This window comes from Homo sapiens, chromosome 2, assembly GCF_000001405.40.
Source record: "Homo sapiens chromosome 2, GRCh38.p14 Primary Assembly".
In the NCBI taxonomy this organism is placed as follows: Eukaryota; Metazoa; Chordata; class Mammalia; order Primates; family Hominidae; genus Homo; species Homo sapiens.
The window spans coordinates 217905797-217930735 of NC_000002.12; the positions used below are offsets into that span (position 1 = coordinate 217905797).

The 24939-nt window shown below is 54.1% G+C and overlaps 1 protein-coding gene across 20 annotated transcripts in view, besides 2 other annotated features; it reads right to left on the reverse strand.

Annotated features, from left to right (window-relative positions):
- The window catches only part of TNS1 (tensin 1), a 234192-nt gene that overhangs the window by 106006 nt on the left and 103247 nt on the right, over nucleotides 1–24939 (reverse strand). For all 20 annotated transcript variants that reach the window (XM_047445637.1, NM_001438865.1, XM_047445639.1 and 17 more), the window contains 3 exons: nucleotides 14399–14440; nucleotides 1414–1455; nucleotides 539–589 (listed from right to left, as the gene is read on the reverse strand). In XM_047445637.1, coding sequence (XP_047301593.1) covers nucleotides 539–589; nucleotides 1414–1455; nucleotides 14399–14440 — 135 coding nt within the window. Of the gene's footprint in view, nucleotides 1–538; nucleotides 590–1413; nucleotides 1456–14398; nucleotides 14441–24939 lie in introns of those variants that run through there.
- Nucleotides 23109–23978: an enhancer, noted in NCBI's record as "H3K27ac-H3K4me1 hESC enhancer chr2:218793628-218794497 (GRCh37/hg19 assembly coordinates)". NCBI's record gives its function as "activates a minimal SCP1, AML or CMV promoter by ChIP-STARR-seq in naive H9 embryonic stem cells {active_cell/tissue: H9 hESC(naive)}" and the evidence as "EXISTENCE:reporter gene assay evidence [ECO:0000049][PMID:30033119]".
- Nucleotides 24310–24853: an enhancer, noted in NCBI's record as "H3K27ac-H3K4me1 hESC enhancer chr2:218794829-218795372 (GRCh37/hg19 assembly coordinates)". NCBI's record gives its function as "activates a minimal SCP1, AML or CMV promoter by ChIP-STARR-seq in primed H9 embryonic stem cells {active_cell/tissue: H9 hESC(primed)}" and the evidence as "EXISTENCE:reporter gene assay evidence [ECO:0000049][PMID:30033119]".

Consider the following 24939-nt stretch of genomic DNA (forward strand, 5'->3'; position numbering starts at 1 on the left):
ATCCGCCCCTTCCCCTCTCCCCAAAATGGGAGGCAGGAGGAGCCCATGGGGACCCGTGGACCCATCTCCCAGCCTCCTCCTGAACCAATAGCATCTAAGCCACACAGTGGAGCTTGCTATTTTCTAAGACTCTTGTCTCCAGGGAAGCACTACCACTTCCCCAAGGACTAAGACCCCCCGCCAAGAGTCAGGGCTCCTTCTCTGCCTCAGCCCTCGGTTTCCCTTGCTGTGGTTTTGCGCATTTCCCCTTGATCCCCATGGCCACTCATCACACACCCTCTCTCCTCCCACCCGCCCTGAGCACCGAGGCCTGGCGCAGTCGCTGATGAATGAGCTCTGGATCTCGCTTAGATGGAGGCAGCACCAAAGGCTGAGGCCCAGCCTGTAAGGAAATGGGCCTGCCCACAATGCCAGCCTCTCCTTCTAGAGAGAGGTAAAGGAAGCCCACGAAACAAGACATTATCCACCTCCCACCCCACCCCATTCCCCCTGGCCACCAGGGCCCAGCCCCATCCTTCTTCTCCCCATCCACACTCACGTTGTCCTCGAGGCTTTTCCGTGTGTTTCCACCCCGGGAGGCTCCTTCTCCCTGCAGACAGAGAAAAGGCAGTCAGAGAGGGGAGGCAAGAAAAATAATCAAAATGCACCTTGCTGGGTTTGTCAGGAGCGGCAGATGAGGAGGTTGGCAGAGGGGCCTGGGAAAGAACTTTGGTCTTTGTTTCACATTTCTTTGCCCATATCAAGGCCCCCTCAGAACTAACCAAATCCTCTCCTTTACAACTCACAGCCACTCCTGTGGGAGATACTATTATTCTCATTTTGCAGATAAGAAAACTGAGGCACAGACAGGCTCATGCCTTGCCCACAGTCACATAATTAGAACCTTGGCAGAGTCAAGATTTGAACCGAAGTCCTTCATCTCCAAGCCCATGATTTCCTGCTGGCCATCGCCAGGAGATCTCTCTCGGTAGCTAACCTCAGTTTCCCCATGGCAGAACCCACCTACTTTCCTCCCTTCATCTTCCGCATAGCCTTGAGGAAACTGTCCAACTCTCAGCTAGCTCAGAAAGACCTGTTTGGAAAGATCCGCCTGATTTTCTTGCATTCTGCATATTTCATAAGGAAGCCCACATTTAACCACCGGCTGCTCCCTCTCAGCTCCCACCCTGCCCCTCCCTCTCTGCCTGCCCAGTTGCCTAGCAGCCCATTTCCAAACACACAGGGATGGTCAGATGCCCTTCTCCCAGAGTCAGCAGCCGCCCCACTACTTCCCTGCAAGTTCCCCAAATCTACTCCGGAAGCATTTCCCCAACCACATCTGTCCACTCTCCCCCAAATCCACTCTCCACTTCCAGCCTTCTCACACCTGCCCAGGCTGTTCCAGCTCCCCCACCACCACCTGCCATCACTCACCTTGTCCACTACATTCTTTGGTGCATTCTCAGTGGTGATGGGCTGTGGACAGAAGGAGAAACAGCATGAGCCCTTAGGGCAGACATCCCAGGGATGGGCTCTCTCCCCATGGCTAGTGGCCCTGATGGGCAGAATGCCCCCTGAGACAGGGATGATGAGGCCAACCCAAGACTCAGGCATAATCTGGCTGGCCCCAAGCACAGGAGGGAGAGTTTGACATGTGGAAAACCATCCTAATAGTGCTAGAACCATCTGGTTCCACAAACCTTCACCAAAGACCCACGCTCAGTGCCCGGCGCCAGGCCTCTGGTTCATACAGTTGCTGACCCCACAAATTGGAGAGGTCAATGACTTACAGCATCTCATTTATTCCCAAGAATCCAGGGAGGTGAGTACCATTAATACCTTTTATCCCCACTCTACAGATAAGAAAGTTAAATGACTGAGCCAACATCATCAACTCTAATAGAGACGGCAGGATTTGAACCCCATCTTGGGGCTCTAAGTGAAATCCCAGCAGCCTGAAATAGTGCAGCCAGCCAGTCTCATTACTTCAGTGGGCTTTCAGGCCACCCACCACTGGGCCTCACACACCTCCATTTCCAAGCACAAAGGCTCTGCTCCATCAGCCCCAGCCCCTAAACTCTTCTTGCCTGTTCCCACATCCAGGTCTTTACTTATGGAATGCTTTCCCTTCTTTTCCTACAAGGAGGGCTCTCTTCCTCCAGTTAGCCCTCCCTGGCCACCCCAGCAAGTAGGATCTCTTTCCCACCTCTGAACTCCAATCACCTCCCTGTCTGGTCCTTAGTGTATGAATAATCTCATCATGGGAATAGATGACTTGTTTCCCCAACTATTGTTTTATTTGTGATTCTTATTCCACCTTCATCCAAAATAGATTCTAAGCAAAATTTGGACCAATTCATTTGGAAACTCCCTCCTACCAGGGTGGATGTATGCATAGTGGGCCATCAATAAACTCCTGTTGGCTGATCCCATCCCTCACTCTGGCACCCTCCTTTCTTCACTCAGGGCAGCAGAAGGGCTTCCTACTAAAGATGGTTTGATTTCTCCCCATAGCAAGAAGAGAAACTTCTTATGCCAGGTTCACCTCCTGATCAGAATCTGAGAGGATTCTGATCCACCGTTTCCAACTCAGTGAAGTGGTTATGGGGCCCTCAAATTGGGCAGAAAGGCCTGAGCACAACTGGAATGGTTGTGAAGCAAACCTTGACGAGGACAAGTGTGACCCAGGTTTAAGACCATGTGTCTCGGCACAAGAGGCGCCTGCTCCAACCCCATCCCTGAGAGCTGAGGGATGAGCTGCTCATGTCCAAAGGCAGGGGAATGGACAGAATGATCCTCTAAAAGGTTCCGGCGTCAGGGAGGAGGAGTGGGCACAGATAGGCATGGAGGAAGAGACTGGGCTGAGCGGAGGTAACAGTGCTCTCTCTGGAAATGGCCCAGACTCATCTACCCCTACTGCCTGGAAGACAGGCGGCTGAGGCCAAAACTACTCTCCAGGGGATGAAACTTCCTGAGCAGTTCAGGGCCAAGGCAGCTGGGGACGGTAGAGGGACAACGGGGTCCAGGCACAGGGGTTGGGGGGACAGGGGCCAACCCCTCCCACACCTCTCCTCCACTATCCTCCCTGCTGCTAGGTACACCACCTTCTCTCCACTTGGAGTCCGAGGATGGCTCTGGAGGAGGAATAATGATGGCACGTTCTGCCCTCTCTCAGCTCAGCCCTAATCCTAACCCACTAATCCCCTAACCCACTCAGGGTAAGTCAGAGCTCGTGGAGCTGCCTGCTTATTAGGACCAGGTGCTCCCCTCAGCCGCCAACAACCCAGCCCCACCCACCCCTCTACCAGGGACCACCCCCCACACCCCCTCCCCGCTAAAGCAGTGTCGCCCACCCCAGGCCCTCTCTACCCTCCAGCCTCTCCCTTCTTTTCCAGGGGCTCTGTCATTCCCACGTGGAGACCTGAGGTTGGGCAGAACAGCCCAGCTGCCTCGTCTCAGAGCTGCTCTGGTCTCCTGTGGGAAGGAAGGGAACTCCCAGAAGGCAGACCACAGCGGAACTGAGATGCAAACCCAAATCCCCCAACTCCAAAGCCCTCACTCCTGACCTGTCCGCTACCCAGCCTCCTAGAATGGACAGACATGGAGTAGGGTGGACAAGCTAGAGATGCTACACCTGCCCCAGGCCCGTTCAGGGCCCAGAAAAGCCTCTCTTCCTCCTCTGGTTAAAGCCTCCTAATAGGCCTCGACCCTCAGCAGAGCATGAGCCCAGGGGTCTCAAACTTGAACATGCATAGCACCACCTAGAGGGCTGTTGACCCACAGGTGCCTGGGTGCCCACACACACACACACACACACACACACACACAGTTAGACCTACGGTGGGACTTAAGGACGTGCATTTCTACCAGGTTTCCAGGCAACACAGGTCCCAGATGCTTCTCCGAGAACAACCAGCCTCAGCTAACAGCTCCCTTGCCTCCAGGCAGGACAACTCCAACTCGGAATCAGCTTGGGAGCAGGTGGCAGGATTTGGACTGACTGCTCCCTAAAAGGCCTTGGCAGCAGACTGCCCAGGTCCACATGCTAATTCTCTCGGCTGCTACCTAACTATGCAACCTTAAGCAGGTCACCTTGTCCTTCCTGCTCCTCAACAGGCCCGCACAGGGTTATTTTGGGGGGATCAAATGCAATAAAGCACATAAAGCACTTAGAAGAGTGCAAGACACTAGAAAGCTCTCAATACTTGTCAGCTATCACTATTGTTTATCGTCTCTAGCCTCGGGGCAGCACCTCATATCCCTGAGGCCCAGGCCCTCTCCAGCCCACCCTGCCTCACTGTGACCCTCTTGCCCCAACCCTCCTGGGTCTGGCATGGTGCACACAAGGGAGCTGAAGTCAATATTAGAAACCACAGGCCTCAGCAGTGCAAGAGAAACTTTCTCCTCCTGCCAGTGATCATCTGAGCACCATCCCCTTTGCCCCCACCCCTTCCCCATGCCAGCTGGAGGCCGGCCACAGGGTGACGCTTGCCAGAGTTCAGATGCCTTCAGCTTACTGGTTGAGATGCTTTCTGAGGAGCTAAAAATTTCCAAGTCCCCACCCCCTGCACCATCTAAACATCCCAGTTGTCCTGCAGTGTTTGCAAACACAGCCAGCATGCATGCTGCCCGACCCTCCTCTGCCCTCCAACCCAACTCTCCCAGGATTCAAGTCCTATCTCTCTGTTTCCCAACACTTCCAGCCTTGGGGCTACTGGGAAGGAAAAAGGCATGGGACTGGTAACAGGAGGGCAGGATCCCCTGAGGCTGCCACTGCCCCAGGCCCTGCAGGGAGGCCGGGGCCAGTGGGAAGCCCTACCATTGACACTGCCTAATGAGTCCAGCTGGCACTCCCGGGACCCTCTGGAACCAAAGCCCCTGACCTTCATCTTCACTCCATTCCTGGCCAGGATGTTTCTACAGCTACCACATACACATACACACACACACACACACACACACACACACACACACACACACACACACAACCATCCTTGCATGCCACTCCTGGGGACATCTGCTCTGAGAGGGACTTAAGACATCATCTCCTCCATCCCCCTGTTTCACACATGGGGAAATTGAGGTCCAGGGAGGTCTGATCTGCCCAGCCTTTCATGGTGAGGTTTGTGGCATGGCTGGAGCTGGTTCCCAGGTTTGTAAAGCCCACTGCCAGGCTCATCTCACTGCCCTCACCCTTGGCCCCCAGCCATCCTGCTGGCAGGGTGAGCTGGTGCCTCCCTGCAGGCTCTTCTTTTCCTTCCTCCTCAAGTCAGCTGCAAAGGGATGAAGTGGGTGGAGGCCAAACACAGACAGACCCCTATGTCTGTCTCCACCCACTGCCCAGTCCCAGGACAAAGCCTGGAGCTTAAGGTCCCCAGGCTTTCCAAAGTGAGAGCAGCTGACTCACTGTTCCACCAGGGGTCTTCCAGAGTCCCCCCTTACCTCCCAGGAGGGACAACTCAGAATCCAGCTTAGAAGCAGGTGGCAGGGTTTGAACCTATCACTACCTGAAAACCAAGCCCTGCTCTTAGCGGGCTGCTCTGCTCTAGAGTCCCAAAACCAGCAGTTAGAGCAAAGCAAGGTGGGGACTAGGGCGAATGTTGGGGCACAACATTTAAGAAGGCATTGCTCTCACTCTGAGGTCCTGCGAGTGCACTTGCATAATCCTGAGAGTGATGACTCCTCAGATCTTGCACCCTAGAGGCCTCACTCTCTGGCCCTCATCCTGGCCCTGGCCCTGAGATGCCTTTTCATAAACTTATTGCAAGAATTACAACTATTCATTTAGGGATGGCAATGCCCGGAACACAGTACTGGGCTCTTTGCTTTCCTGATCACCAGTCCTCACAACCACCCTGGGAGGCGAGCATTACCGCAGGGTACAGTTTAGGAAACTGAGGGCCTGGGAGATGTAGTGACTCACCCAAGGTTCCACAGCCAGTCGGTAGGAGAGCTGCTGTTTGAACCTTGCTCCTCACCTCCCCATCATGCTATCTCCCCTCTCCCTGGCAATGATCTCCAGGCAGTTCCTCTGATAACTGCCTTCCTGTGGGGAACAAGCTTTCTGAAAATTGAAGGCCAGTTATAGCAGGACTTCTGTCCAGGTCCTCAGTAGGAAGACACTTCTTAACCATACTTCCACAGAAAGAATAGGAACTGGGCTGCATAGGAAAGACTGAGATCAGACAACAGAGAGAACTTCCTGAATTCGAGGGGTCGGGAACCACAGGGTGGATAAGGGAAGCTCCACATCCTTTCCTCAATTTTTTTCCAAAAAAAGACACATATGCCCTCTCCACACATGCCTTTACCCTCCCCCACTGCATGGGCCCAAGGTGGGGCCAGGAGGGGCCTTTCTGCTGGAAGGTTGGGGGGTGGCTGCCAGGACGGCCTAGAGGCTCACGCAGGAGGACAGGTTAGTGGCCTGCAAGGAGGGTGGGCTGGGAAAAATGTATCTGTGCTGCTGTTTTAGAGGAAGGAAACAACAGGGTGGGGGAGGTTCCCATGCCTGAGCCCAGGGCCGAGGGGAAGGGGATTGGGGAGGAGGGTGCGCAGAATGCGGGCTCAGCCTCCGGAGGAACATTCCGTCCGGAAATTCCTTACACCCTGCCCCTTTCCACCCTCCAACTCTCCCGACTCTTGCCCCCTGGGAGGCCTGGAATCTGGGGGGCTTGGGGGCCAAAAAGACCACCCCATGACCAGATCTACTGCCATGGCAATGAACTGCGAGGTCACCATCGCACTGCCTATCAAGAGGGGAAGGAACTGGGAGCTGGCAGGGAGGGCTAGCGAGGGCTGGAATGGCCTCAGACCCAGGACCCAGAGAAAGTTATTCTAGGCTCACTTGTTTCAAAAATAGAATCATAAGCAAATGCAAGGAGGGGGCTAAAAACAGAAGGGAAGGGCAGGGAAACAGAGTTTATGGGGCACTTGGAGCATGGCAGGCTGTGAGATGGCACGTTAGAGGTGCGGCCCCATTTAATCGTCCCCACATACAGACCTATGAGAGCCCTCTATCAACAGCCTAATCACGAAAACAAGGCAGCGGCAGCGGCAGAAGGCAGCAAAGGGAGAGAGCGCTTTCTCCGTGCCCCGTGCCTCCCAAGGCATCACCTCCCTTCACTGTCATAAGCAAGGGCTCTAGAAGGAGCACTTTGAACACCTTTCTGCAAATGAGGAGACGGAGTTTCCAGGGAGGGTGGCCGCTCAATGTGAGATCAGATCTGCGCCTCCGAGTCTAAGACCTCTGAGGTCTGCACCTCCCAGAGCCCTGTGCTCTCCCCTCGCTCAGTCTTGAGGAAGTGGGAGCCGATGGGTGAGGGCTAGAGAAAGAGCACTGAGCAGATGGGGCTGGCAGAGGATGCTGGCAGTGGAGCCTGGGACCCTGAAGTATATCTGCTCAGTTGCTCCAGGGGCCACATCCCCTCCCAGCAGGCCCAGGCCACCAGAGGAAAAGAATAGGCTCCATGTGATTAAGGGGAGAGTTATGTCTGATTTCTCCACAGGGGAAGGATCTGGCCAGACCACACCTGTCCTCAGCCCCTTCTCCTAATTCACCCCAAGGGGCCCAACACCCAAATCCTGACTGAGGCTGTGCAACTGTGGACACCCCCAATGCAGCCGGCTTGCACAGGTTGGAATATTTTGTGTTCCCTCTTGCCATGTCCTTCAGTGGATATGGCTCTCCTCCCCGACCTGGCCAGGGCACTGGAAGGCTGTGCCCTTCCTCCACACCCCTCCAGCCACCCTTGCCTGCAGCCTTGAAGCCACACTGAGCATCTATACCAGCTCAGCCCTCCCCTGGCGGTCCCTCCCTGCCAAGCCACCCTGAAACTGGCAGCAGACTCCCAGCTCTAACACCCTGCTTTGGGTCACTTCCCCACTCAGGGACCCAGGATAGCCCTTAGTGCTTAGCACATCAAGTTCAAGTTCCCCAGTGTGGTTTGTGGACTCCTCCAATATCTGGCCCCTTCTCCCTCCAGCCACTCCACTGCTTGCTCTCTCTTCTCCAGCATGCAGCCTCTGTTCACAGCTGCTCAGGCCCACCAGGCCTGTCACGCTCATCCCTGCCCCCATTCCTGCACCCACACTGCTCCCACCACAAGCCCCAGGCAGGGTCACCAAGGGTTGTTTGGGCCCTGGTGATACAAGATTGCCTGGTTCTCTCTTCCCGCCAGCAAGAGAGACTTGCCCAAAACATTTACACTAGATTGCCTGGCCCTCTTTCAGACTCAGCAATTGGTACCAAGGTCCTACGCCCTTTCTGTTTCAGCCCTGCTACCTTCCAAAACGCCCTCCCTCCTTCCCTCCTCTCTTCTATTTGTTCCAGACTTAAACTAGGCTTGAACAGAAGGCAGGTTTCCCCAACCACCACAGCACAAGCAAATCACTTCCTCCCCTGAACACCAAGGCTACCACCTCTGGTCAAAACCCCAGAGTCAGGCACTATTTCCATAGTGTGGTTCTCCCTCTCCCACTGAACAGAGGGTTCCCTGAGGTCAGAACCCTTCACCCTACTTGGGCCTTTCAAAGTGGGGATTACAGGGGAGGTATTCAGCACATTCAGGGATGCCTGGACCTCTGTGGATCTTGTCACTTTGTAACGCAGCCAAATGACAGGACCTCAGTGAGCCTGAGGACTTCTACCCAGGCAGCTCCCTGTGGAGCTGGTGCTTCCATCAGCATGGTGCCTTATACCTGATAGGTATCAGTAAGAATGTTTTGGGTTTTTTTGTTTTGTTTTTGTTTTTGTTTTGACACGGAGTCTCGCTCTGTCGCCAGACTGGAGTGCAGTGGTGCGATCTCAGCTCACTGCAACCTCTGCCTCAGCCTCCCAAGTAGCTAGGACTACAGGCACAAGACACCACGCCCAGCCAATTTTTGTATTTTTAGTAGAGACGGGGTTTCACCATGTTAGCCAGGATGGTCTCGATCTCTTGACCTTGTGATCCACCCGCCTCAGCATCCCAAAGTGCTGGGATTATAGGCGTGAGCCACCGCATCCAGCCTAAATGCTGTTCTTTAAGGAGCACTTTGAACCCCTTTTGGCAAATGAGGAGCTGAGTTTCCTCCTCTTTCTGAGGACCTCTACCTACCAAGTTCTACTTTGCAGAACAATGGAAAATGAATCCATTTGTCTTTCAACATATTCTCACTCCCATTCTGTGCCCGTCCCACGTCTTCTCTCTCTAGGCTAAGCGGCCCTAGGGGTTGCACAAGTTGGGGTTTTCAACCTCCCTCCCCATGCTCAGCATCCTCTTGGGAATGCAATGCTCAGAGTTTGCCCCTCCCCTTTGAAAATCAGCCATTTTTTCAGGATTTCCCAAGGATGGCCACCCATGGCCTGCCCAGTGCCTTGGGATGAAATGCATCGGGTCGGAGTTCAGGCTGACTGAAGTGACTGCACATCACCCTTGATGGAGCGAGCCCGCACACTGAAGCTGAGTGCTCCGCTCCCTTTCTCTGCTTCCAGTTAACGTCACATCCTTCTCTGCTTCCATGAGGCAGCACAATGCCTCAGATCTGACACTGCGAGACCTTCAGAAAGTCACTTAAGAAGATCAGGGCCTGTTTCTTTATCTGCAAAAGAACAGGATGGGACTAGATAGCGTCCAAAGTCCTCTCCACCCTGTGGCTCCAGGTCTACTCCATGCCCGTCTGTCTTCAAGAAGCACTGACAACTGTGGCAGAAAGGAACTCTGAAGCCCCAGCACGTAGAACAGTGCCTGGCACTGAGGGGTCCTAAGCCCAGGGGGTAGGTGCTCCAGAGATATGTATTGGTAAGATGGCTGGATGGTTACATGGATGGACAGACCCTCCCTCAAATCCCAAGCCTACTGGCAAACAGAGAAGCTAGCTGTTTAGAAAGAGGGGCTCAGGAGAAGCCCATCACCCGGCAACATCGGGTACTTAAATCAGGAGCAAGCACCGAGGGCAGCCTGGGGAGAAACACAGACCAAGAATCCACTCCTGACCCAGCCCTGCCACTGCGAGCTGTGTGACCATGAACAAGGCACCCAGTTTGCTCCATGTACAGTTTGTTCCTGTCTTCTCAGGGTGGGCTTGGGCCTGCCAGGCTTCCACACAGGTCACTGTGAGGTCCCAATGGCCCCACGTCATGGAAAAGGCTTTGAAAACGGCAAGTGCTATGCAAGTGACAGTGACGTCAGTTATTATTCATGCTTAGGAGGGTGAACTCTGGTGCCAGACCACCGTGTCAGAATCCCAGCTCCCCCTTTTCATAGCTCTGTGGCCTTCAGCTTCAGTTCTTCATCTGTGACATTGGGATCATCACAGCACCTCCCTCATTGCACTGTAATCAGGATTAAATCAGTTTATTTTTGTAAAGTGTTTAGAACGAAGCTCGGCAGATATGAAGTTCCAGTAAAGGGTTAATCTCTCACTGTTGCTATTACTATTATGAGTGAAACCAGCCTCCTCGGGCTCCCATGGTGTCCCCCTGCAATCCAAGCATGATTTCCTACTGGGCAATTCCTATTCCCCCATTCACCTCCTCCCCTCCAGACCCCCCACCCTGACCTGCAGACCTCCAAGTCATTCTACAGGGACGTTCCAAGCCCCTGTGCTGGGCCTGCCTGGGCAAGTAGAAGCAATGTGCACATCATTCCACCCCCAGTGCAGCTCTCCCGCACACAGAAGACCTGACATCCGCCGACCTTGGTGGCCAACCCATTTGGCGATCACCCTTGAAAAATTCTTTTGACTTATTTTTCAGAAGTTGAGAAAAGCTGCTTCAGCTCTTTGCAAGGATCAGGAGTGTCCGTGGCAAACAAGCCCTCTTGCCTCTCCATCCTGCCCCACCAGTGCCCCACAGGAGGGTGGTGACCCTAGGTCCCTTCTACCCAAGGCCTTGGGCAACATCTGTTGAGTAAGATGAAAACATGGTTGAAGATTAAGCCACTTTACCCTGGCTGGCCCGGGCACAGGTTGGGAAATGTATTTGGCTGGCAGGGCCTGAAGCCGGGCAGAAATTCTATGTCTGGGATGAGAGGTCCTAATCCCAGGGGTTGGAATTTAAGCAAGATCAGTGAGAAGTCCAGACAGAGAGCTGGAACTCAACTGAGACATGAAGAAAACACAACACACAGAAGGACAGACACACCATGAGGGACAGAGAATGGGCAGGGAGGCCGGAGAGCAGCCTACCGAGGCTGAAGGGCAGGCAACAAATGGAAAAGGAAGGAAAAATACAAACCCGCCCTTTCCTCCCTCTTGTGAACCTGTTCAAAGCACTTGCCTCGCCCGCCCGTGAGGAAACAGGTGCTGAGTGCTCCTGGGGAAGCCAAACTTTCTCCCGGTTTCCCCTGGGCCACTTTCCCACTCCCCAGGGACAGTAGCAGAGCTTCCAGCTGAAGGCAGCTGCCACCTTCCCCCATGGCCCCCCACCTTTAGGACTCAACAGCCCCACCCATTCACCAGCTAGGGAACATGGAGTCATAGCAGTCCTGTTTATTGAGTACCTAATCTGCCAGACATCGGGCTGAATGCCTTCCTTCCAGCCATTCAAGAAACATATATAGAGCACCTACCGTGTGCAAGGCAGCGGGGACACAGCACCGAACAAAATAGATAAAAATTCCTTGTCCTAATGGAGTTTACATGCTGGCATGGGCAAAACCCCTTAAACAAGATAAATAAGTAAAATGCATAGTGTATCGGGGCGATGCATGCTGAGGGGCAGTGGAAGCATGGAAGGGAGACTGGGTGCTGGGGAAAGGGAAATGCTGACACTTCAATAAAAATTTGAGGTTCGGCCGGGCGCGCAGTAGCTCACGCCTGTAATCCCAGCACTTTGAGAGGCCGAGGCGGGAGGATCATTTGAGGTCAGGAGTTCAAGCCAACCTAGCCAACCTAATGAAACCCCATCTCTACTAAAAATGCAAAAATCAGCAAGGTGTGGTGCCGTGCGCCTGTAGTCCCAGCTACTCAGGAGGCTGAGGCGGGAGAAATGCTTGAACCCAGGAGGTGGAGGTTGCAGTGAGCCAAGATCACACCACTGCACTCCAGCCTGGGCAACACAGTGAGACTGTTCTCAAAAAAAAAAAAAAAAAAAGACTTGCGACTGGGGGAAAAGCCTTGTGGGTATCTGTGGGAAGAGCATTCCAGGCAGGGGGAATAGTAAGTGCAAAGGCCTGGAGGCATCATATATGTTCAAGAACCAGCAGGAAGGCCGGGCGGCTGAAACAGAATGAGTGAGGTGCTGAGAAGGAGATGAGGTGAGAGAGGAAAATGACAAGACACGGGTGAACGAGAAGGAGCTGAGGCAAAAGGAAACCTGTCACGTAGGGCTGCTTGGGCCAACGGAAGAACCTGAGCTTTTGCTCCAGTGAGGTGGGCCAGCATTGAAGGACTTGGAAAACATGAATTAAATGGATTAATGTGCTCACTTTGGTCTTTTGGCAGGCTTACAGCATAGGTACCGTCACTAACGTCCATTATGAAGAAGAGAAACGGAGGTCCAGGGAGGTTAGCAATGTCAGGGTCGTACACCAGGGAGCGGGGGAGCTGGGATGCAGAAGGAGGTGGTCTAACTCCCTCGCTCTTTACCGCTGGGGAGGCGGGTTGTGACTCAGGCAGGGGAGCCTCTGGGAGCACCGTCTGGTGACACAGCCATTTCACCACCAGGTGGCTGATCCAGCCTCCTCGAAGGGCAGAGCCCCCTGCACAGGCGGGGCACCTCACAGAGACACGCAGCCTTGCTCAGGCACGAGTCTCTTCTGGATTCTAACTGCAGTCCCCCCAGCTGGAATGCCAACCTATTCCCTTTTGTCCTAACCTCTGACCGCTCTTCATGTAAACAAAGCTCATGAGACTCCCAGCAGCCAGACATCTAGCTTCTGCCTGGTGGTCCCTAAACCCTGAACCCCCAGCCTCATAAAGCAGCCAAGGACATTCTGTTCTTAGCCACAAGGTGGGAGTTCAGCTGGAATAAGGAGAAATGGACACTCACCCCTCCCCGCCCGCCCTCCTCGGACTCCCATGGTGTCCCTCTGCAATCCAAGCGCGATTTCTTGCTGGCAGTTCCAAGCCCGACTGCACTCCACCCCCCAGCCCCCGCTGTTGCCAGATGACCCTCCACTGGGCTCCGTATGAATAACACTCCACATCTGCAGCAGCAGGGCTGGGCAGCACTGAGGCCCGGGAGAGCCTGGCCCTAGTGAGACCAGGGAAGGAGGGACCACTGCAAAGAAGGTAAACAACCCCAGCAGGCCTGAGCCCGAGCGTGCAGAGCAGTGACACTTAGAGTCCCAAGCACTTCTGTGCACTTCATTTCACTCCATCACCACCCTGAATAGGGAGGGAGGGAGAGGGAACACTCATCAACATGGAGGGGCCCCTTGGAGCATCTCCACAGCAAGGAAAATTGAGGTCCAGAAAGAAACAGGATGGGACCAGCCCCTTGTCATACAGCAAGTGGATATTGATGAAAGGAAGGAGACTCTGGCCTGACTGAGCACCCAGTGTCTGGGCTGAGCAAGTCACAACAGAGGTGTGTGAGGTACCTACAACTGCCTGGGCCCCAGGACAGCCACGCCCCGCCCCAGGCTCCTGCCGACATTAGTACTGCCACAGGCAACTCCACAGCCTGATCCGATTGTGCCCGCAAGGTGTCCTTCCGGGACACACCCACACACCTGTACACAGGCACACAGGTGCATGCAGGCAGCCCCCTTCCTTCCCCAGCAGCGCCCAGAGCCTTGTCTGCTTCTAGGGCCATGGTGGGGAGGAAGAAGACCTCTGAAGGGTGAGAAGGTGGCGAGAGGCAGGAAGGAAGAGTGCCCAGTGTGCCAAATCAGCCCAGCTGGCATCAGGGTGGAGCAGGGCCCTCTCTACAGCCCACAACTCACAGGGATCCCACCCCAGTCCAGGCTATGGTGCAAGGCTGATTCGGGGGTGACGGGAAGAGGAGTGGGGGAAATGGAAAGGGAGCAGAAAAGCAAAGTCAAGCCAAGGGGCTTAGAGGCAGAACAGAGGTCGCCTGTAGGGAAAAACTGCCCAGGTGAATGGACTCTGAGGGTCATCCCCCGCCTCCAGCCCCAGGGTGCCTGACCCGGGACCAGGCAGGCAGAAGGAGATGCCGTGGCAGCCCCTGGTCCTCTGAGTCCCGGGACAACAGGCACCTGGCCAGGCCTGGAGACACACAAGATGCCCTTTTATGGGTTTTTCTAAGGACGCAAGTCTCAAGGTTGGAAATAGCAGGCACTGCATCTCATCAGAAGGGACCTCATGACTCATTTCCTCCCAGGCCCGCTTCGGCCCAGGGAGGTCGACCCTCCTCCTCCACCTAATTGTCCGACACCCCAGTTACCAACATATTTGGGTCTAAAGAAAGCTGCAGCTGGGAGCTGCGGAGGGAGAGGAGGCAGGGCTTGCAGGGCAAGGAAGGGCTGTCACTCACCACCAGCTCATGGTTGGATGGAGGAACGCAGGGGGCAGCCACCTGTGGAAGGAACAGAGAACGGGCAGGTGAGCATATCTTGTCTCTAGAGACAGCCAGCACCTCCTGAGGTCACCCCACACCTCCCCCTGCTTCATTCCCTCACACGGGCTGACACCTTCTGGGTTGAGAGTTCTTCAGCAGACTATGGAGCAACACAGAAAAACTACTCCAGCAATAACGCCTGGGAAAGGGAGCGGGGGCCGCAGAAGGCAAAAATGAAATGAGCGTCACAATTAAAATTCTGTGACAAATATGCACATGCTGGGAGACTGGAGATCACTGCACCGGCATTTCAATAACAGAAGCTTCAGGTAATAAGAAGAAGGATTTTTTTTTTTTTTTTTTGCTCTATGTCCTGAATTTTCTACAATATGGTAAAATTCATTTTACATTTTTAAAAACTGTGATTAGGACCATCATCAGAAAAGGGAGAGTCACCTCCTTGGTTCTCCCCATTGCTAAGGGATCTCACCCAAAGGTCAGAGCTGCAGAAGGCTCCTACCAGCTCTGGCACTTTCCCGGAGCATGCATGAAATGGGTTGGTAAAAGGGACCCACCAGCCCTTCCAAAGAAAGCCATGAGTGTGGCTAACACATGTGGAAGGCTTGGAGAGGCAGAAGCACTCTCTGGGAGTGAGCTATGATCTTCACCAGTTTCATGATCCTCATCTTCCTCTCTGATCCAGAGAAGGAGATGGCAACTTGAACTTCCAGACAGAGGGAAGAAGGGAGAGGGGGAGAGTAGAGGGGAGGGAGGGAGAGGGAAGAGGAGAGTGGAGGGGAGGGAGCGAGAGGGAGGAGGAGAGTAGAGGGGAGGGAGGGAAGGCTCCATCGCTCCCTTCCCTGAGATAACATTCCCCTGGCCAGGCCTGGCAGGCGAGCCATTACCCTGACAATTAGCAGGGGCATTTATCAGAGACTGAATGTGCTCCTTTTTTCTAGCCAGGACACGTTTTTCTTGGAGCTCAGTCCTCAACCTTGGCTCCGATTCCCAACCTGAACACCAGGCAAGGGGCCCACAGTGGGCACAGAGTGGGAGACTGTCCCTCGGGCATGAGGTTATCTGGGAACAAGCCATGGATGTCCAAAGAGGGGGTAGCTGCCTCCCCCAGACAGTGGGCAACCCCTCCCCACCCACCAGCCCGGTGGAGTGGTGGCAGCAAGAGCCCTCAGCCCAGCCCCAGCTGGTACTGACTGGGCATTGGGCACCCTAGCTGAGCCCTTCCTCCAGCTGACCGCATGCTGTCATCCCAGCAGCCCAGGGATTCCCCAGGCTTGACACAGCAGCCCAGATAAGGTCAGCACCTGTGGGACAGTGTGCTCCAAGCTCTGGAAGGGGCAGAGGTGGCTGGGAGTTGGCATTCCTGGGTTTTTGACACAGTCGGGCTACAGACTCCCTGCCCAACTCATTCTCCAGCAAAGAGGCCCAAATGGAGTCCTAGCATTTATTCCTCTTTGCTCCACAGAATTCTAGGACTGGTGGGAGAAGAACAGGGGGCCGAACAGAACCAACAACAATAATACCCAATACTATTGAGTGTGTACTAGATGACAGGCATGATTATAAATGCTTTACCTCTGTTAACATTTTTAATCCTTTCAATAACCCAGTAAGGTGGGTTACTATTGTTATTCCCACAGTTGCGGTGCGCGGGGCATGGATGGGTTAAATTGCCTAAGGTCACACAGCTGATAAGTGGCCGAGATTTGAACCCAGGCAGTCTAAGTCCCAAGATGACATGTGAAGGGAAGCTTATCACTCGTGGCCCCAATTTCGGAAGAATGAGGAGACACAGGGGGAACAGAACTGCCCCCAGAAGCCCGGGGTCCTTAATCCACACCAGCACGGGGCTATGAGTGATTGTTTTAGAAGAGGCCTCTGAGAGACAGAGCCCAGGGCTGGGGGAGAGGGTGCCAGGGTAACAGACTGGGCGGGAAGGGGAGGTCCCCAGAGCTGGCTGTGGCCTGCAGGGCTCTCTGCTTACCCTGCCCACGAGACCAGGTCTCAGCTACGGGGGACACTGCTGTCCCTGCCAAGCACAGCACCAAACCCTGCTCTGGGGACTGGGAGTTTTCAAGGTCAGGGGCCAGGGCCCCAGGGTGCCTTCTCCCAACCCACTCTGTCACCATGGGTCCCTCAGTCCTGGGGGAGGGAGTACAATTCCCAGGACAGCACCCTTGCTGTGTTCTTTTTCTGAGCTTGGGCTGGGCAGGGACCGCGAGCCAGGCCAAGCTGCCAGAGGACGGGCTGATGCCTGCCACTGCCAGGGCCCCAGGTTCCACCAGTCCCCTCCCTCACAGGAGGTGTGTTTCTGCTCTCCATTTAGAAGCTGGGGATTGGAAAAGGGAGGGAGGGGGTTATGGCTACATTTTGAACCAGCAGCAGAAGAGACAGGTGTTCTCTGAGACGAAGAGGAAGGTCTCCCTCCCAGACCTACTCTCAGGCAGTGGACAGGAGGGGGCCCAGGTATCCTGACCGCAGGTCCCTTCCCTGGCCTCCCGAGGCAGAGGCACCCCCTAAGAACCTGGCCCTGCGGGGGAGCTGTCAAGCCCCAGCCCAAGGGCCTGATGCCTTGGTGCCCCCTCGTGGCCTGCCACCCCCGACGGCGTCCTCCATCCTCCGCCCACAGCCGTGCATTCCAGGCCCACTGGCCGGCCAGCCCACTGACTTTGTTGTGTGTTTCAGTGTTTCTTGTCTCTCTCTTTTTTTTTAAGCAAAGAAATGTTTCCTTAAAAGGCTCTCGCCTTCTCTCCGGCACCCTGGCCCCTGGCCACCCTCTCAGGAGCCCGGAATGTGCCAGGGAGAGCCAGGGCCCCCTGCCACTCTATGGCCCATGCCCTGTGGCCCCACAGTCCTGGAGTCCCCAGGGGGCCCAGGTAAGGAAGCCTCCCTCTGCAGGGGGCAGACTCTGGGGGTGGCTATAGGGGGTCTTGGTGCCAGCGCTGTCATAGGCTCACCTCCCAGAGCTGTCAGTGCAGGATTCCAGGGCTCAGACCCAGAAAGTCAGCCTCAGGTAAGCCCCCTTCCCCCAGTGGACCTCAAGCAAACCATTTAGACATTGGGAACTGACAGGGTGTCCTGCTCAATCTTTTCACTCTCAATAACATAGCAATAAAAATCACAGCAGCAAATAAACTCCCATCACCCTTGCTCTGTGCCAGGCACTGTTCTCAGCAGTTTGCATTAATTAACTCATTTAATTCACGTAACAATGCTGAGCGTTGTCATTATTATCCCCATTTTGTGGATGAGAAGACTGAGGCACATAGAGGCTAATGAGTTGGCCAACAGGAGGCACGATGCAAAGTCAGGGTCCGGGTCTGGAGACATGCTCTTGTCCTCTATGCTAGAAACACACACATCCACGGAGCCATCCACAGCCACAGGAACAATGCTCACGGAGTGAGTGCACTATGTCTACACTCAGCCCTTTGCTCATACTAACCAAAGCTTAGTTACTGTACCAAGCCCTTTGCTCTCATTGGATGCTATTACCCCCAATTCACAGATGAAGAAACTAAGGCACAGAAAGGTTAACAATTTGCCCAGCACTGCAGCAGAGCAGTCTGGCTCTGGAGGCTGCGAGGTGGAGCCCCGTGGGTGCAGCTGGAAGGTGAGCATGGTAGCCTCCCAGACCAGGGCTGATGCCTGGCACTCGTCAGCCCCCACACCCACTAGTATTTTCTCAACTTCAAAGGTCCCTGAGCACAATGCCAACAACAGGGCACACCCGTGCAGACTCCCCCAGGACATGAGGGAAAAAGCACTAGAGAGCAGCCAGCCCAGGCAGGGAACTCCCTGCATGACCCAGGCTCTGCCCTCCTCTCCCTCTTCGTTCTATGCTCAGCCCCCTTGTCCGGGACCCGAAGCCACACACAGAGGTGGGTTCCCCTCAATCCCTCCAACACCTAGTTCTGTTCTTCCTTGGAGCCTGTGAGTACACAGTTCCCTCTGTCTGGAATGCTCTTCCTCCAGCTGTCTGCGTAGCTGTGTCCTTCCTGTCCTTCTGGCTTTGGCTTAAATGTCACCACCCCAGAGACCCTCCCTAATTCCCTTATGTTTCTCTCTCTCTCTCTCTCACACACACACACACACAGCCCCACACAATATTCTCTCTCCCACACTCATATCTCTGCCTTCACAGACCTTATTACAATTTGTAATTATAGGTGTGTGTGCTTCCTTGTCTATAATCTGTTTCCTCCTCTAGAAAACAAGTGTCATGAGGGCAGGAAGCACATCTTATCCGTCAAACTAGTCCAGCACAGAGCCAGCACACAGTAGGTACACAATAAATGTCTGTTGAAGAATGAAAGTGATTCAAGGCCTAAAGAAAGGAGGCACCTGTGGCCACTTGTGGCCACAATCGCTGCCATTTGTTAAGCACCTACTATGCACCAGGCACTGGGGCTAATTTTGTCATACACCTGATCTCTCCGAGACCCTCCAAGCCCGCAGAGTCAGCAATATTGCTCCCATTTCACATATGGAGAAACAGAGGCTCCACAAGGTCATGAAGTTTGCCCAGGTTAATCAGCTGGGAAGGAGTTTAGATCATAATCCCACTACACCTGCATTTGTGAAAGACAAAATTTCTTGAGATCTTGGCCCTTTGGGTGTCTGGCGCAGTGGTTATGCAGTGGTGGCCCACTGAGGTTTTTGATCAGTCTCATCATAAGACCTGGGTTGTCTCATCATGGTATTTCAGGTGACTGCAGTTATAAAGCTAGGGGTACACAATTACCAACCACAGCAATATGTGTTTGTACATTTCCCTTTTGCTTACTTCTTTATGAATACGGTTCATCTGCTCATAATCGTTATACCAGTGTGACTATCATTAAACTCCTGAGTGTTTATGCTTGCAAAAATATAAGTGCTATTATTGCCTATTTTATTGTGTAAAATGGCCTATGAAATGTTCTGTCGTGTTTTTACATGTTTCTCAAACCAAACCCCTTTTAAAAATGTAAATAAATCTTTTTTTTGTGCGTGTGGCCTGTGGACTCCAGGCATTTTTATGGTCTGTGGACTCCAGGCACTGCTCTTTGCAGATCAAGAGAAAACCCAGGCGTCTGCCTAGCACTGCCCCTCTCACCTCCCAAACCTGCAAGTGGCAGGACCAGGGCCCCAACTGGGTGACACTCCTGTCCCCAGGCCACCAAGAAAGAGCCAACCTCTCAGCCTTGGTTATGTAAAATCCCAAACTCCTAAGCTTGCCCAGCCCTCCAAAGGGGCTCACCACACACACTCACACTCACCTGGCCCCTGGGACTGGAGAGGACAGCTTTGCCCCTAGCTTAAACGAGACCCACGTGCATCTGGGCATTCAGCATTTCATATAAGACTGAGTGGAAAAGGGGTCCCCCCACCATCTCCTGCTAGTCCCCTTTTCTTTACTGTGGTAAAATGCACATAACATAACACTTACTATTTTAACTATTTCTAAATGTATTCGGTGGCATTAAGTACATTCACGGTAATGTACAACCATTACCATTATCCATTTCTAGAAACTTTTCATCATCCCAAACATCCTCACACTCACTAGCCCTCATTTCCCCTCCCCCAAACCCCTGGTTACCTCTAATCTACTCTCTTTCTTTATGAATTTGCCTATTCTAGGTACCTCCTATAAGAGTAATCATATAATATTTGCCCTTTGATACCTGGCTTATTTTACTTAGTGTTAGAGGCTGAATTCTATGTCCTCCTTCATATATTAAAGTCCTAACCCTCAGTAGCCTCAGAATGTGACTGTATTTGGAGACAGGGTCTTTAATGAGATAACTAAGTTAAAATGAGGCCCTAATCCAATCTGACTGGTGTCCTTGTAAGTAGAGGAAACGAGGGCACAGAAATATACCAGGGAAGACCATGTGAAGGCACAGGGAGAAGGCGGCATCTCCAAGCCAAGAAGAGAGGTCTCAGGAGAAACCAACACTGCTCATACCTTGATCTCAGCCTCTGGATTCCAGCCTCCAGAACCATAAGAAAATTCATTTCTATTGTTTAAGTCACCCGGCGTATGGTATTTTGTTATGGCAGCCCAAGCAGACTAATACCCTTAGCATCATATTTTCAAGAGTCATTCATGTTGTAGCATGTATGAGAACTTCTTTTTAAGGCTGAATACTGTTCCATTGTACAGATTACACCACTTCGTGTTTTTCTATTCATCCATCCATGGACACTTGGGTTGCTTCCAGAGAAGTTCTTTGCTGACACCCACCTCACATCCCTGCCCCAAAAGTTACATGGGAGGGAAGGAAACTGGGGTTTGTAGAGCACCCACTGTGTGTCTCTGAGCTGGGTGCTTTACATACCTTATTTTTTGCGATCTTCTTGACAAGTTTTTCAGGTAAATGGGCTCAGAGAAGTTAAGCAATTTACCCCAAGTGGAATAACTAGTGGTAGTCATTGTGGCAGCAAGTGTTCATTGCTAAGCTCTCTGCATGTCAAGCACTGTTCTAAGCTTTTGTGTATACATCGCTTCACTCCTCACAACCACCCACGAGGCAAGCATTAGCATCCACATCCTCCAGGGTCTCAGGCAGTCCTCTCAACAATTCTGCCAGACCAGAGAAGGCACAGCTTCCAAAGGATGGTATCAGGGCTCACCCAGGTCTGCTGGATTCAAACACCTGCCTTGCCCCACCTGTCACGCTGCCTCTACAGTGGGACAGGGCCCATGCTGTGGCAGAGGTGCCAGGGCTATGGGATCACAGAGAAAACTCAGGGGCCCCAGGCAGGCTCCATGGAGCAAGGGCACCTGAGCCTGGCATGGAGGATGCATTGCTTCTGTTTATCCACTGTGTGTCTCACCCACTACCCCTGAAAGCCCCGAGAGCAGGCAGCACATGGGCCATTTCCATTGAGAAGTCCCCATGCCTGGCTCAGAGCCTGATGCCCACTTGGTGAGTGGATAAGGTTTTGAAAGGTAGAGATGGGGAAAGGACATTTGGGGGTAGGAATTACACATTAAAAAGGCATGGAGGTGGGAATGCTTGGCGTGTTGAAAGAACCACAAGAAGCCCCCCTTTGGCTGGGACACAGGATGGGTGAAGGAAAGGAAGAGGAGCATTGAAGCAGGCATTGGAAGGGATGAAGGGAAGAAGGATGGCACAACGGTCTTTCTAGGCTTGACCATAGGCAACCTTGAATGCCCAGTGAAGGAGTTAAATTTTAGCCATTGGCACTGGGGAGCCAGTAAAGGCACTTGTGTAGGAGAAGGACCAGGCTGAAACTATGCTCCAGATAAAGATGTCCAGGAGTAGGGTCTGGGGGAGCTGAAGGGTGGGAAGTTTAAGGCAAGCAAGGATGTATAGTCACATTACTAATAACAATAAGGGGAAGGAGAAAGTGGGGGAGAAGAGGACCCTATAACCCAGAGACAAGAGGCCATCAGGCACCCTGAAGCCTAGGGGCCCTCATCTCCACTCTAACAAAACACACATTTGCAGTGACCCCCATCCCCACCCTTGACTTCTCTTCCTCACCCAGAGCACGGGAGGGTGCCACTACCCACTCTTAGAGCAGACCTGGCATGCCCACAGCTCTGCCTGCTGTTCACCCTCTGGGCCCTGCCCCAGGAACCTGTGGCCAGGAGGCAGGCAGCTTCTGAGCCCTGTTCTCTGAAATGATACCAGAGCGGTCCAGAAAAAATCCAGACAATAATCCCAGAAGGCCCCAGTCTCCATGCCCATATGAAGAAATAGGCAGGTGACCCTCCTATCTGTGGACAGTCCAGCACTTCAGGGCTCACACCATGAGTCCACTAGAACTCAGGAAGGCCCCAGACAGCCCCCATTCAACCTGGTAAGGCAAGCTGGGAGGCCCAGGGGAGAGGGCCAGTTGTTAGCCTGCCAACCAGGAGGGAGGCAGGCCTCCTTCAGGACCTGAGGATGCTCAACAGACAAGGAGCTGCAAGAATGCCAAGGCCATGGAGGGAGGGTGTGGGGACAAGATTACAAGGCTTGCCTGAAAGGGCCAGAGGTCTCAAGGGTCCCAGCACAGCTCAAAGACACTGGCCTCCCAGGCTGAGCCTCAGGCCCTCAGGAGGAGGGATCCTGGAGAGAAGGTGGCCACTGCCCCGGCCCATTTCCTCCCCAGGCCTGTGCCCTCCCCACCAGGCAGCTGGCCTTCACCGGGGCTTGCTCCAGCCTCTCCAGGCTCCCTGGCCTGCTAGTCTGTTTCCTTCCCTTTTATAGAGTTCTGTTTGGACCAGGAAATGAAGTGCATCAAGTTCCTGGAGGCAAGAAGGGGCCTGTTCCCAGCAACACCAAGCCAGGGCACACACACCCAAGCCCTGAGTGTCCCTCCAAAGACAGTGGGGACAGGGAGTGGGCCTGGCCCTTTCCCCAAACCCAGCACAGGCTGGGACCCAGAACCTGAAGCAGACAGGACACAGGGGAGTCCCAGAGGGCTGACTCACCAAGGCCCCAGGCCCCACCCCTCCCCAAATCCTCCTGAGCTGAGCTCCTCTTAAATCACTGGCCCCATCAACCTATCCCCAAAGCTCCAGCTGCCCACTGCTTCCTCTTCCATTTCCTCTTCTTGTCTCAGGATCCTCTTCCCCAGCCCCACTCACTGACCCCCCAGCCCACTGCTAGGCTCCCTGTCCTGCAAGCCACTCGAGATGGGCTCTCCAGACAGGGGAGTTCCTCTTCAGACAAGAACCTCCCCACCTCTAACCACACCCACACACAGAGCAGCTGCCAGGTCCACATAAGGGCCACTCAACAACCAGACCTGAACGAGGCAGGGAAGAGCAGGTGTGCCTGACCCTTCAGGAGCCTGCGGAATGTGGAGTTCTGGGCAGCTTCAGTCAGAAGCTGACAACAACAAGGGGAACTCGGGGGGACCAGCAGGCCAAGCTGTGGGACCATGGGCCTCCCAGCCACTGAAGCCAGGCCCTCCCAAGCCAGCCTGGAAGAAGGCACGACACCATGGCACCCAGATGGGCCTACCCCAGGTGAAGGCAGGGAGTCTTCTCTGGAGATTAGCCTCCAGACAACCCAAGCGGGGATCTCAAGGGTCCCGGCTCAGGGGCCACACTCACCCACACCCCTAATCAGGGAAGCTGGGAGAGGTGAGGCTGCACACTAGGCCGGACTTCTTAGGAGCATGTGCTGATGAGCAGGGGGGTCAGAGACATGGGGTTCAGCAGAGCTGCACTGAGTACCTATGGAGTGCCAGGCCCAGGGAGCACAAGACAGCAAGCCTACCGGGGCAGGGTGAGAGGGTCCCCGCAATAGCCAGGACAAAAGGCCGGGACAGGCAAGGCCACAGGGAAGCACCAGCAGGGGTCAGAGGGCACGGAGGGGCCCAGGGCATGACCCGTCAGCATCCTGGTTTCATGATCCTGCCCACACTCGGCCACCTCCTGGCCTTCCTGCATGGCACTGACAACACCTGCCACCACCCCCATCTCCACCCACCACCCCTCCCTCAGCCCTCCACCCCCCACCCGCCCCGGCCACCAAAGTCGTTCAAGCCAGAGGCCCATGTGTCTGTCTTCCTTCATTCTTTCCCCTCCCTTCCACCAAGCCTAGGCAACTCCTCCTCCTAAATACCTCTCTGAGCCACATACACCCCTTCTCAGGTCCTATTAATCATAGAGATGATTGCAACAGCCTACAACACTGGTCTCCCTGCCCTCCGCCTTGTCCCCTCCACCCCATTCTCCATTTGGCAGCCAGGGAGCTATTTCTAAAATGCACATCCAGCAGTGTCACTTCTCTGCCTAAAGTTCTTGCATAGCTCCCAGCTCACGGGAGAAAGTCCAAATGTCCTAATATGGCCATCAGGCCCTTCGGGACCTGGCTATGCCTCCCTCTCCACTCCCATTTCTCACCTCTCCACCTCAAAGCCCTTGCTCTGGCCAGAGAAAATTACGTTCAGGTCCGCTTTCATTCAATACGGCGCACTCTGAGCTAGGGGCTATCAGTCCATTTCACAGATGAGGAAATGAGGCACTAAGAGGTTGCATTCTCAGCCTAAGGTCACACAACCAGTAAATAATGGAAATTGAACCAAGTTCTGCCGCGGCTGTGTCCGAAGCCTCAGCTCTGCCCAGGACCACACCACCTTTCCCAGTCGGGGGTCACAGAAAGTTTCATGGAGAACATGGCCTTTGAGATGGGTAGGGAGGAGAGATGCCAGGGGTCAGAGAACACAAAGAGACCAGTTGGCTGTGCCCAGGGCACACAGGGCCAAACAGAGAAAGGCGGTCAGAGAGGCAACCCATGCCACACTGCACATGACCTGGAGGGCCAGGCTGAGGCCAATGTCCAGGACCCTGGAGTGGCCTCATGCCCCCAGAGCCAGTGAGAAGCCATGGGTGAGGTGTAGGGCTGGAGCCCGAGAGTCCAGCCTGGAAGAGGCTCTGAGCTGGTCAGGGAGCAGAGGAGAGAGATTAAAGAGGGGATCCGAGGAACATAAGAAGATGGAGGGGCAGGAAAGTGGGGCAGTCAGAGCTGCTGAGGCACGCGGCCGGA